This window comes from Homo sapiens, chromosome 6 (genome assembly GCF_000001405.40).
Source record: "Homo sapiens chromosome 6, GRCh38.p14 Primary Assembly".
Lineage (NCBI taxonomy): Eukaryota > Metazoa > Chordata > Mammalia > Primates > Hominidae > Homo > Homo sapiens.
Window position 1 is genome coordinate 3,664,788 of NC_000006.12, and position 13,611 is coordinate 3,678,398.

General features: G+C 40.8%; 1 long non-coding RNA gene across 11 annotated transcripts in view; it reads right to left on the reverse strand.

Moving 5' to 3' along the window:
• The window catches only part of LOC100507336 (uncharacterized), a 126,588-nt gene that overhangs the window by 71,298 nt on the left and 41,679 nt on the right, over positions 1-13,611 (reverse strand). The gene's annotated exons all lie outside the window — the stretch shown is intronic.

The following is a 13,611-nucleotide window of genomic DNA, read 5'->3' on the forward strand; positions in this document are numbered from 1 at the left end:
AGGAGCCTCTTTGTTTAGGGTGAAAGTAAACAGAACTCCTTGTCTTTAAATCAGTGAAGATGGAATGTTTGTAATGTCAACACCGTTCACTCTACCCTGCAAATGAACAGGAAAGTCAATCTGGCTAGTGAGCTCTGTCTGGATTTCGCAGGCTTCTATGAAAACTGCTTGCGCTGCCTCTGGGCTCCGACGCATGACGGCACGGAATTTCCCAGGGCTGGCCCCACTTAAGGGTCAGGCTTGTTTTGCTAGACCTGGTTTCCACTTGATCCTTTTCTTCAAGATAACTCACCTGCCCAGTGATAAACGTATGGCCCAGCGTCCACCCTCTCAAAAGCAATTTGTCTCTGGAATCCTCTCTTCCAAGCTGCCATAAAATCACTATGGGGTTTGCAACATGAGGGAGACTTGCTTTCTAATCTTCATAAAGGTTTTACCCCAAAGCTCTCCCATCTCGTCTGGAGCTGTTCCCATCATACCCCTCCACCTTCTCCTAATAAGCGCTTGGATTCCTACAGAGAAATAGCCAGCATTGCCCCATGTTGGACAAACAGCAGAGTCCGCCTCAACCAGAGACAGATCAGGCGCTAAGGAGGGCAGAGGCTGGAACATTTGGAGGCAATGTCGGGTCACTGTCGCTTTGCAATCCATTGCTCTGACAAGAATGCAAAGTGATTATTTTAAAAATCACTCTTGTATTGCTTTTTTCATGATCAGGAATTTAAAAAAATGAAAATATCAGCATATAAAGCTGCAACAGTCCTATACTCCCTTCCTCATAACCCTGCAACTCAGCATCTTCCCAGTTTAAGTTTAAACAAAAGAAAAGAGGGGGTGGGGGTGTTCTATTTCCTGAGAGCAATTCCTGGCAGGGCTGCAGCCTGGATATTCTGCCTGCTCTGGTGCAGACTGGCATCTATCCTAGGGCTCAAAGAGATGGCTTCAGAGCCGATTATCACCCTGTACCAGCCACCACAGATGGCATTAGCTGACCCTAAGCTGGGAGCAGAATTCAAAGAAGTCTTTTTTTCTGGGAGTGAGCTCCCAGAAGCTTGTGTTAATTGCAGGCACTGTGCCCTACAGGGGAAGACCCAGAGCTCTGGGGCTGGGAGCACCTGGCCTTGGCCAACCCCAGCCTACTCATCAGAGAGGTTGCTGCTGGCCCCACAGGGCCCAGAAGTCCAGTGCCTCTAGAAAATGCATCAGCCTCTGGTTGGAGATGAGAGGATTCCAAGATGTTCAAGGGTCTCTGGTGTCACAATGCACATTCTATTTACCATCCAACCATTTTAAAAGGGTAAACGCTTCCTGTTAATTTATACAATGCCAGGGAGTTTGATACGAGCTCAATGACTCAACTATCTCCCTGGTGTTTGTGCTCAGGGAACTTGTGAGGAACCTTGGGGATTCCTACAAGTGTGCTTGGAATCACAGTACTGGGCAGTAATATGAATAGTAGTACTAGTAGTAGTAACATCCGTGCCTGATGCTTTTGTAGAGATTGGAGGTACATAGATGAGGCAGGGAATACTTAGGGTAGACTGCATCTTCTGTGAGCTGTAAATGAATCTTGTTGTGGGCCCATTGCTCAGTCTTCACAACTACTACTTACCCAAGGGAGATGGAGAGAAGAAAGAAAAGCGGGGAGTAGCTACATAGAAAGCAGCTTGGAGAAGTGACTCACTCTCTCTAAGTCTGCTTCCTCATCCATGAAATGGGGTGATAACTACCTAACAGGGTGCTTGGGAGGATGAGATCAGGTGGGTGGGCATTCATCTAACAGATATCTCTTATGTGTCAGGCGCTGTTCTGTACAGAACAAATGAAGTCCATGACCTCATGAAGGCCATGTTCTAATAAGAATAAAAATGATAATTCATCAGGAGGCATAGCTGTCTTAAGTGACTGAATGTTAAAATACATGAAGGAAAAACTGATAAAAAATAAAAGGAGAAATAGAAAGTTCCAGGGTTGTGCTATGAAATTTGACAACTCCCTTCTACTATTGATAGAACAAATCAGGTTTTTTAAAAAATCAGTAAGGAAATAGATTTTACCAACATTATCAACTATTCTAACCTAATCAATATGTACAAAACACTATACTGTATAGAATACATATTCATTTCTTTCAAGTGCACATAGAATGTTTTCTAACCCAGACTCTATACTGGTTGATTAAATAAGTCTTAAAAATCGTCCAAAGCTTGAAATTTTACAAGATATGGTCTCTGACTACCATAGAATTTAATCAGGGATCAGTAATAAAATATCCAGATTATCCTCCCAAATACCTGGAAATTAAAAACCCATCTAAGGAACCCACGGGTCAAAGGGAAAATCACAAATGAAACTAGAAAGTAACTTCTAACTGGATGATATGAAAACACAAGACATCAACATTTCTGGGATGCAGCTAATGCAGTATGGAGAGGGAATTTTATAGCTTTAAAAGCCTATGTTAGAAAGGAAAAAAGGTTCAAAATCATGATCTAAGTTTCCACATTAAGAAGTTAGAACAAGAAGAGCAAGTTAAACTCAAAGTTAAGCAGAAATAAAGAAATAACTGGAAAAAAGCTGAAGTCAATGAAGTAGAAGACAAAGATTAATAATAGAGAAAATTAACAAAACCAAAACTCATTATTTGAAAAGATTTATGAAGTTGATAAGGCCCTAGAAATGCTAATCAAGAAGAGAAAACACAAATGATCGATATCAGAAATGAAAGAGCAAGTAGCATTAGAATGATAATAAGGGAATGTAGACACTAGAATGATAATAAGGGGATGTAATGAATGCCTTTATGCCAATAAAATGCATATCTCAGATAGAATGGAAACGTTTCTTGAACAAAACTAATAAAAACCATCTCAAGAAGGAATTGCACATATGAATAGTCTATATATTTAAGGAATTTAATTCATAATCTAAAACCTTCCCTGAAAGAAAACTCTGGGCTCAGATAGTTTCACTGATAAATATTAAATTTTAAGGAATAAATAATACCTATCTGATACAATCTCTTAGAAAACAGAGAGAAAATTATTTCATTCCATTGCTTTTTATGAGCCTGAAATAACCCTGATACCACACACAGACAAAGGCACTACAGGAAAAGAAAACTGCAGACCAGTATTCATCATGAACATAAATGTAAATATCAACAATACAATATGAGCAGATTAAGTCTGGCAGTGTATAAGAAAAGGCAATTCACCATGACCAAGTGAGATGGAAATACAAGGTTGTTGCAACATTTGAAAATCAATGCATGTAACTGACCACTCCAACAGTATAAATGAGAAAAATTATATCATCACCTCAAAATTTAACACTGAAATATTGAACATTTTCTCCTAAGACCAGAAACAAGCTAAAGATGTTGGTTCCTATTTCTATTCAATGTTGTACTGAAGTCTTAGCAATGAAAAAAGACAAGAAAAAGAAATAAAGGACATGCAGGAAAAGAAAAAGTAAAGCTATCATTTTTTGGAGATAATATAATTGTGTCTAGGTCAGTATATGAAAACATGTTTGTATTTTCTAGCAGCAGTATTGAAAAAGTAATTTTAAAATACCATTAATAATAGCATCAAAAACATAAAATAGGGATAAATTTAATAACATATGCACAAGACCTCTATGTAGACAATGAGAAAACATTGCCAAGAGAAGTTAAAAATATCTAAATACATGGAGAAATGTATATGATATTGATGAACTGCTAGGATGTTCATTTTTCCAAACTCATTTATAGATAAACACAATCCCAATTTCTTTTGCTAGAAATTGACAAGCAGATTCTGAAATTCATATAAAAATACTAATAATCTAGAATAACCAGGACAATTTTGAAAAACATAAACAAAGTTGAAGGGCTTGCACTTCCTGATTGTAAAACTTACTATAAAGTTACAGTAATCAATACAGTATGGTACTAGCATAAGAATAGGTATATAAATCAACGGAACAGAATAGAATCCAGAAAAAGACTCGTGCATCTGTGAGTAATTAATTTTTGATAAAGATGTCAAGGTCATTCAGTGGGCAAAGGATAGTCTTTTCAACAACCATGGCTGACAAAGTAGATGTTCATATTTTAAAAATTGAACTACAACTCCTTTTTCATCCCATATAAAAAGTTAATTCTATGTGAATTATAGACATAAAAATAAAAGATAAAACCATAAAACACCTAGAACAAAAACATAAAGCAAAATATTTGCAACATGGGCACAGGCAAAATTTTCTTACACAGGACAAAAAGCATTAGTCATATAAGGAAAACAATTGATGAATTGGACTTTATCAAAATTAAAATTTTCTGCTCTCTGAAATATACTGTTAAGAAAATGAAAAGTCAATCCATAGGGTAGGAGAAAATTATCTATCTATCCATCTATCTATCGATCATCTATATCTGGGAAAGGACTTGTATCCAGAATGTGTAAAGAACTCTTACAATTCAATAAAAAGTAGACTCAATTTTTTTAAATAGGCAAAAGCCAGTAGAGACACTTTGCAAAAGGAGTCAAATGACCAATATGAACACGAAAAGACGGTCAAGAAAACTAGTCATCCAGGAAATAAAAATTAAAACCACAATGAGATACCATTTCACCCCCAGTCACATGGCTAATACTGAAAAGATTGACAATATCAAGTGTTGATTGGCTGTGGAGCAACTAGAACTCTTTCTGGGGAAGATCCAGATATAGGGAGAGTATGAAGCCATTCCAGAGGCCCAGAGATAAGCTGGCCCCAAAAGATGGGGTGTTACATATATTCCTTTATTTTGGTCCACAACAACTGTTAAGAGGCAAATATTATTATTATTATTATTATTATTATTATTATCATTATTATTATTCCCTTCCTTTTAGGTCAAGACACTAATGGACAGGAAGCTTAAAGAATTGCCAGATAACTAGCAGAGCAGCAAAGTGATCTCAGTCAGTCTTTTGTTCCCAACTCTGTGCTGGTAACATCAGTGCTATAAACCCCTGACTCGGGATTTTTCCCCCTGAGGTTCCCCTCATGGTGTGTGACGGGCAGCACAATTGCTGGTGGAGAGCTAGTGTTAGATTGTCAGGCCAGCCAAAGGAGCAGTTTCAGGGCTGGAGTTCCATTCTAGCAAAGTGTGACTCTACTGAAAGGCAACCATTTAAACAAACACCTATTCCATATCGGGGCTTAATCAGGGCCAGGCCCTGTACTAGGAGTCAGGAACAGTACACGAACGATCTGTGCTCCCAGCAGGGCATTTAAATTGTATGTAAGATGGACTGATAATGTAAACAACCATTCAAACAAAGTCAGAATGTGCTGAAAGATGAGCCAGGTCCGCACTGTCTGTCAGTGGTTCTCACACTTGAGCATGCATTAGACTCACCTAAAGCAGAACTCCTGAAAACACAGACAGCTGGGCCCCACCCCCGAGAGGTTCTGACTCAGCAGGTCTGGGGTAAGGCCTGAGAATTTGCATTTCTAACAAGTTTCCTGGTGAAGATGCTGCTGCTGGTCTGGGTTGGGGTGGGGAGGGGGTGGGGGGGGGGGCCTCATTTTGAGAACAGCTGGTGCAAATGAATGGCTCTTCACCCTAGTTGTCTATTAAAATCATGTAGGATTTTAGAAAGGAGGCTTAGAAAAATAACTGGTGCTTGGACCCAGACTAGACTAACTGAAACTTTCTCTTGGGGATAGTGCTTTATCACTGGTAGTTTTTTAAAGCTTCTTAAGTGATTCTAATTTGAAATCAGGGTGGAGAACCACTGGGGCAGGTGCTACTTGGAGCAACCAGCTGTCTGGGTGGACTCAGGGCTGAGGGGTTTCTGAAATGCAAAACACTGAATGTTAAAACTTGAACAGTCCCAGGCAAAAAAGGATGAAGCCACACCCTGGATGCTACAGAGGGAATGTCTAGGCCCATCAGTGGTGCCCCTCCTCAGCTGATATGGATGTCGCCTGAAGAAGATTACATAATAATGAATGCTCCCAGAGATTGTAAATTAATTGAATTTTTCTGGGTACAGCTTGGCATCTGAAGTTTTAAAAGGTGCCTAAGAGATTCTAATGTGCAACCAAGGTTGAGAACCACTGGGCCAGGAGAAAGGAACAGGATGTTGGATTGAGGAATTACGACTTTATTGGTGACCTAAGATCAGTTTTAGAGAAGTGTTTTAAATACTAGCCATTTTTCAAAGGCCAGGGTACATAAATGTATGAGTATGGGGAGAAAGAGGAGACAGTCCATAAAAGACTCTTCTTTGAAAAGTTTGGCAGAAAGGAATAAGCATATTTGGGAAAAATTTCACCCTTCTTCCGTGGGTAATATAAAAATTTCCACACATATGGATTTTCAGTTAAATCTAACAATTGCCATTTGGGATTTTGTAGTGGCTGGCGCAGGACCCAGAGCACAGTATGCTGGGGTCCTGGCTGCATGGGAGGGAGTGGGCTTTGCAGGTGACTCTCTTGCGTCCATTCCCCTCTGCCCTCACTGTACAGCATCAGTGCAGTGTGAGGAACTGACTTTGCCTCCCCGAGTTGTTAACGGTGGTTTACTAATCCCCCTTTCCAGTGTTGGGTTTGGGAATCCAGGCCTAAGGGAGTTCATAAATAGGATTCCCACTGCAACAGATACTGGTCAGAAGCAAGAGAGTAACCAAATGTCCCAGGCAGACGAAGAGAAGATCCTTCTTCTATGGTTGGAGGAAAGACACTCTCCCACTGAAGGTGAGCCAACATGTAGCTAGGAATGCCACCAGCTGCCAGACAATACCCACAAGGGGGACACACCAGCCTGAGCTTGGACTGACAGAGGACATCCAAAGAGAAACAGGGAGGAACACAGTTCTTGAGAACATCATTGACCCACTGAAAGTCTGCAAGCCTGCTTTACTGCCAGATTTCTGGTTGTATGAGCTAAGGAAGAGATTTTGCATTGGCTTTTCTATTATTTGCAGCTGAAGACACCCAAATTGGTTTGTGCAGTCAGGGCAGGGTGCAGGGAAAAACAGCCCAGATACAGAGGTTGCTCTGTGAGGGCAGCCAGCCTTCCAAATGACGGTGCACAAGATAGGGCCAGCTCAAATGTGGTCCAGGAAAGTCCTTGGTGCTGGAAAGGCCAATCTTGTGGAATAGAGCACAACAGTAGGAAATTCAGGCCATGGTGAAATATCAGGAGCCAGGTTGGATGCAGGTGTGTTCTGCATGCCCCAGATCTACGCAGTAGGCACAGCCATTGAGTGACACAATCCAGCCCTGGGTGAGGGTGGAGGGTGGGGATTCTTGCAAGAGCTAGTAATTCCATGATGATATCTGCTGCAGTTTATTACAGCCTTGCCGTTTGTCAGATGTTGCTGAGTGCTCTACATGTATTATATGATTTTATTTTCTTTTTTCCTTTTTTTTAAATTATACTTTAAGTTTTAGGGTACATGTGCACAACGTGCAGGTTTGATATATAGGTATACATGTGCCAGGTTGGTTTGCTGCACCCATCAACTAATCATTTACATTAGGTATTTCTCCTAATGGTATCCCTCCCCCAGCCCCCACCCCTCACCCACCGAGAGGCCCCAGTATGTGATGTTCCCCACCCTGTGTCCAAGTGATCTCGTTGTTAAATTCCCACCTATGAGTGAGAACATGTGGTGTTTGGTTTTCTGTCCTTGTGATAGTTTGCTGACAATGATGGTTTCCAGCTTCATCCATGTCCCTGCTAAGGACATGAACTCATCCTTTTTTATGGCTGCATAGTATTCCATGGTATATATGTCCCACATTTTCTTTATCCAGTCTATCATTGATGGACATTTGGGTTGGTTCCAAGTCTTTGCTATTGTGAATAGTGCCACAATAAACATACGGGTGCACGTGTCTTTATAGTAGCATGATTTATAATCCTTTGGGTGTACACCCAGTAATGGGATCACTGGGTCAAATGGTAATTCTAGTTCTAGATCCTTGAGGAATCGCCACACTGTCTTCCTCAATGGTTGAACTAATTTACACTCACACCAACAGTGTAAAATCGGTCCTATTTCTCCACATCCTCTCCAGCATCTGTTTTTTCCTGACTTTTTAATGATTGCCATTCTAACTGGCGTGAGAGGTATCTCATTGTGGTTTTGATTTGCATTTCTCTGATGACCAGTGATGATGAGCATTTTTTCGTGTGTCTGTTGGTGGCATAGATGTCTTCTTTTGAGAAGTGTCTGTTCATATCCCTTGCCCACTTTTTGATGGGGTTATTAATTTCTTGCAAATTTGTTTGAGTTCTTTGTAGATTCTGGATATTAGCCCTTTGTCAGATGGGTAGATTGCAAACATTTTCTCCCATTCTGTAGGTTGCCTGTTCACTCTGATGGTAGTTTCTTTTGCCATGCAGAAGTTCTTTAGTTTAATTAGATCCCATTTGTCTATTTTGGCTTTTGTTGCCATTGCTTTTGGTATTTTAGTCATGAAGTCCTTGCACATGCCTATGTCCTGAATGGTATTGCCTAGGTTTTCTTCTAGGGTTTTTACGGTTTTAGGTCTAATATTTAAGTCTTTAATCTCTCTTGAATTAATTTTTGTATAAGGTGTAAGGAAGGGATCCAGTTTCAGCTTCCTGCATATGGCTAGCCAGTTTTCCCAGCACCATTATTAAATAGGGAATCCTTTTCCCATTTCTTGTTTTTGTCAGGTTTGTCAAAGATCAGATGGTTGTAGATGTGTGGTGTTATTTCTGAGGCCTCTGTTCTGTTCCATTGGTCTATATCTCTGTTTTGGTACCAGTACCATGCTGTTTTGGTTACTGTAGCCTTGTAGTATAGTTTGAAGTCAGGTAGTGTGATGCCTCCAGCTTTGTTCTTTTTGCTTAGGATTGTCTTGGCAATGCAGGCTCTTTTTTGGTTCCATATGACCTTTAAAGTAGTGTTTTCCAATTCTGTGAAGACAGTCATTGGTAGCTTGATGAAGATGGCATTGAATCTATAAATTATTTTGGGCAGTATGGCCATTTTCACAATATTGATTCTTCCTATCCATGAGCATGGAATATTCTTCCATTTCTTTGTGCCGTCTTTTATTTCATTGAGCAGTGGTTTGTAGTTCTCCTTGAAGAGGTCCTTCACATCCCGTGTAAGTTGGATTCCTAGGTATTTTATTCTCTGTGTAGCAATTGTGAATGGGAGTTCACAATTTTTGTGAAACTCCCATTTTTGTGGGAGTTCTCTCTGTTTGTCTGTTAATGGTGTATAGGAATGCTTGTGATTTTTGCACATTGATTTTGTATCCTGAGACTTTGCTGAAGTTGCTTATCAGCTTAAGGAGATTTTGGGCTGTGACGATGGGGTTTTCTAAATATACAATCATGTCATCTGCAAACAGGGACAATTTGACTTCCTCTTTTCCTAATTGAATACCCTTTATTTCTTTCTCTTGCCTGATTGCCCTGGCCAGAACTTCCAACACTATGTTGAATAGGAGTGGTGAGAGAGGGCATCCTTGTCTTGTTCTGGTTTTCAAAGGGAATGCTTCCAGTTTTCCCACTCAGTATGATATTGGCTGTGGGTTTGTCATAAATGGCTCTTATTATTTTGAGATATGTCCCATCAATACCTAGTTTATTGAGAGTTTTTAGCATGAAGCGCTGTTGAATTTTGTTGAAGGCCTCTTCTGCATCTATTGAGATAGTCATGTGGTTTTTGCATTGGTTCTGTTTATGTGATGGATTACGTTTATTGATTTGCATATGTTGAACCAGCCTTGCATCCTAGGGATGAAGCAAACTTGTTCATGGTGGATAAGCTTTTTGATGTGCTGCTGGATTCTGTTTGCCAGTATTTTACTGAGGATTTTTGCATTGATGTTCATGACGGATATTGGTCTAAAATTCTCTTTTTTTGTTGTCTTTGCCAGGCTTTGGTATCAGGATGATGTTGGCCTCAGAAAATGAGTTAGGGAGGATTCCTTCTTTTTCTATTGATTGGAATAGTTTCAGAAGGAATGGTGCCAACTCCTCTTTGTACCTCTGGTAGAATTCAGCTGTGAATCTGTCTGGTCCTGGACTTTTTTTGGTTGGTAGGCTCTTAATTATTGCTTCAATTTCAGAGCCTGTTATTGGTTTATTCAGAGATTCAACTTCTTCCTGGTTTAGTCTTGGGAGGGTGCATATGTCCAGGATTTTATCCATTTCTTCTAAATGTTCTAGTTTATTTGCATAGAAGTGTTTATAGTATTCTCTGATGGTAGTTTGTATTTCTGTGGGATCGGTGGTGATAACCCCTTTATCATTTTTTATTGCATCTATTTGATTCTTCTCTCTTTTCTTATTAGTCTTGCTAGTGGTCTATCAATTTTGTTGATCTTTTCAAAAAACCAGCTCCTGGATTCATTGATTTTTTTTAAGGGTTTTTTGTGTCTCTGTCTCTTTCAATTCTGCTCTGATCTTAGTTATTTCTTGCCTTCTGCTAGCTTTTGAATTTGTTTGCTCTTGCTTCTCTAGTTCTTTTAATTGTGATGTTAGGGTGTTGATTTTAGATCTTTTCTGCTTTCTCTTGTGGTCATTTAGTGCTATAAATTTCCCTCTACACACTGCTTTAAATGTGTCCCAGAGATTCCGGTACATTGTGTCTTTGTTCTCATTGGTTTCAAAGAACATCTTTACTTCTGCCTTCATTTCATTATTTACCCAGTAGTCATTCAGGAGCAGGTTGTTCAGTTTCTATGTACTTGTGCGGTTTTGAGTGAGTTTCTTAATCCTGAGTTCTAATTTGATTGCACTGTGGTCTGAGAGACAGTTTGTTGTGATTTCTGTTCTTTTACATTTGCTGAGGAGAGCTTTGCTTCCAATTATGTGGTCAGTTTTAGAATAAGTGTGATGTGGTGCTGAGAAGAATGTATATTCTGTTGATTTGGGGTGAAGAGTTCTGTAGATGTCTATTAGGTCTGCTTGTTGCAGAGCTGAGTTCAGATCCTGGATATCCTTGTTAACCTTCTGTCTCATTGATCTGTCTAATACTGACAGTGGGGTGTTAAAGTTTCCCATTGTTATTGTGTGGGAGTCTAAGTCTCTTTGTAGGTCTCTAAGGACTTGCTTTATGAATCTGGGTGCTCCTGTGTTGGTTGCTTATATGTTTAGGATAGTTAGCTCTTCTTGTTGAATTGATCCCTTTACCATTATGTAAAGGCCTTCTTTGTCTCTTTTGATCTTTGTTGGGTTAAAGTCTGTTTTATCAGAGACTAGGATTGCAACCCCTGCTTTTTTTTGCTTCCCATTTTCTTGGTATATCTTCCTCCATCCCTTTATTTTGAGCCTATGTGTGTCTTTGCACATGGATGGGTCTCCTGAACACAGCACACTGATGGGTCTTGACTCTTTATCCAATTTGCCAGTCTGTGTCTTTTAATTGGAGCATTTAGCCCATTTACATTTAAGGTTAATATTGTTATGTGTGAATTTGATCCTGTCATTATAATGTTTGCTGGTTATTTTGCCTATTAATTGATGTAGTTTCTTCCCAGCATTGATGGTCTTTACAATTTGGCATGTTTTTGCAGTGGCTGGTACCAGTTGTTTCTTTCCATGTTTAGTGCTTCCTTTAGGGACTCTTGAAAGGCAGGCCTGGTGGTGACAAAATCTCTCAGCATTTGCTTGTCTGTAAAGGATTTTATTTCTCCTTCACTTATGAAGCTTAGTTTGGCTGGATATGAAATTCTGGGTTGAAAATTCTTTACTTTAAGAATGTTGAATATTGGCCCCCACTCTCTTCTGGCTTGCAGGGTTTCTGCCAAGAGATCCACTGTTAATCTGATGTGCTTCCCTTTGTGGGTGACTCGACCTTTCTCTCTGGCTGCCCTTAACACTTTTTCCTTCATTTCAACCTTGGTGAATCTGATAATTATGTGTCTTGGGGTTGCTCTTCTCAAGGAGTATCTTTGCAGTGTTCTCTGTATTTCCTGAATTTGAATGTTGGCCTGCCTTTCTAGGTTGGGGAAGTTCTCCTGGATAATATCCTGAAGAGTGTTTTCCAACTTGGTTCCATTCTCCCCATCACTTTCAGGTACACCAATCAAACATAGATTTGGTCTTTTCACATAGTCCCATATTTCTTGAAGGCTTTGTTCATTTCTTTTCCTCTTTTTTCTCTAACCTTGTCTTCTCACTTTATTTCATTAATTTGATCTTCATTCACTGATACCCGTTCTTCCACTTGATTGAATCAGCTATTGAAGCTTGTGTACGCCATCACAAAGTTCTCGTGCCATGGTTTTCAGCTCCATCAGGTCACTTAAGGTCTTCTCTACACTGTTTATTCTAGTTAGCCATTTGTCTAATCTTTTTTCAAGGTTTTAGGCTTCCTTGCGATGGGTTCGAACATCCTCCTTTACTTCTGTCAACTTGTCAAATTCATTCTCCGTCCAGCTTTGTTCCATTGCTGGTGAGGAGCTGCAGATCCTTTGGAGGAGAAGAGGCGCTCTGATTTTTAGAATTTTCAGCTGTTCTGCTCTGGTTTCTCCCCATCTTTGTGGTTTTATCTACCTTTGGTCTTTGATGTTGGTTTTGGTGTAGATGACCTTTTTGTTGATGTTGATGCTATTCCTTTCTGTTTGTTAGTTTTTCTTCTAACAGTCAGGTCCCTCAGTGGCAGGTCTGTTGGAGTTTGCTGGAGATCCACTCCAGACCCTGTTTGCCTGGGTGTCACCAGTGGAGGCTGCAGAACAGCAAATATTGCAGAACAGCAAATATTGCTGCCTGATCCTTTCTCTGGAAACTTCATCCCAGGGGGCAGCCACCTATATGAGGTGTCTGTTGGCCCCTACTGGGAGGTGTCTCCCAGGTAGGCTACACAGGGGTCAGGGACCCACTTGAGGAGGCAGTCTGTCCATTCTCAGAGCTCAAATGCTGTGCTGGAAGAACCACTGCTCTCTTCAGAGCTGTCAGACAGGGACGTTTAAGTCTGCAGAAGTTGTCTGCTGCCTTTGGTTCAGCTATGCCCTGCCCACAGAGGTGGAGTCTAGAGGCAGTAGGCCTTGTTGAGCTGCAGTGGGCTCTGCCCAGTTCAAGCTTCCCAGCCACTTTGTTTACCTACTCAAGCCTCAGCAATGGTGGATGCTCCTTCCTCTGCCAGGCTGCGGCCTCGCAGGTCAATCTCAGACTGCTGTGCTAGCAGTGAGCAAGGCTCCGTGGGCATGGGACCCGCCGGGCCAGGCACGGGAGAGAATAACCTTGTCTGCCAGTTGCTAAGACCTTGGGAAAAGCACAGTATTTGGGCAGGAGTGTCCCATTTTTCCAGGTAGTCTGTCACAGCTTCCCTTGGCTAGGAAAGGGAAATCCCCTGACCCCTTGCACTTCCCGAGTGAGGCGACGCCCCACCCTGCTTCAGCTCACCCTCCATGGGCTGCACCCACTCTCCAATCAGTCCCAGTGAGATGAACCATGTACCTCAGTTGGAAATGCAGAAATCACCCATCTTCTGCATCGATCACACTGGGAGCTGCAGACCAGAGCTGTTACTATTTGGCCATCTTGGAACGCCCACCTATACATTATATGATTTTAAATACTCATGAAAAACAAAACAAACAATGCTTGGATGTAAGCAATGATTGCCCCTGCTTTCA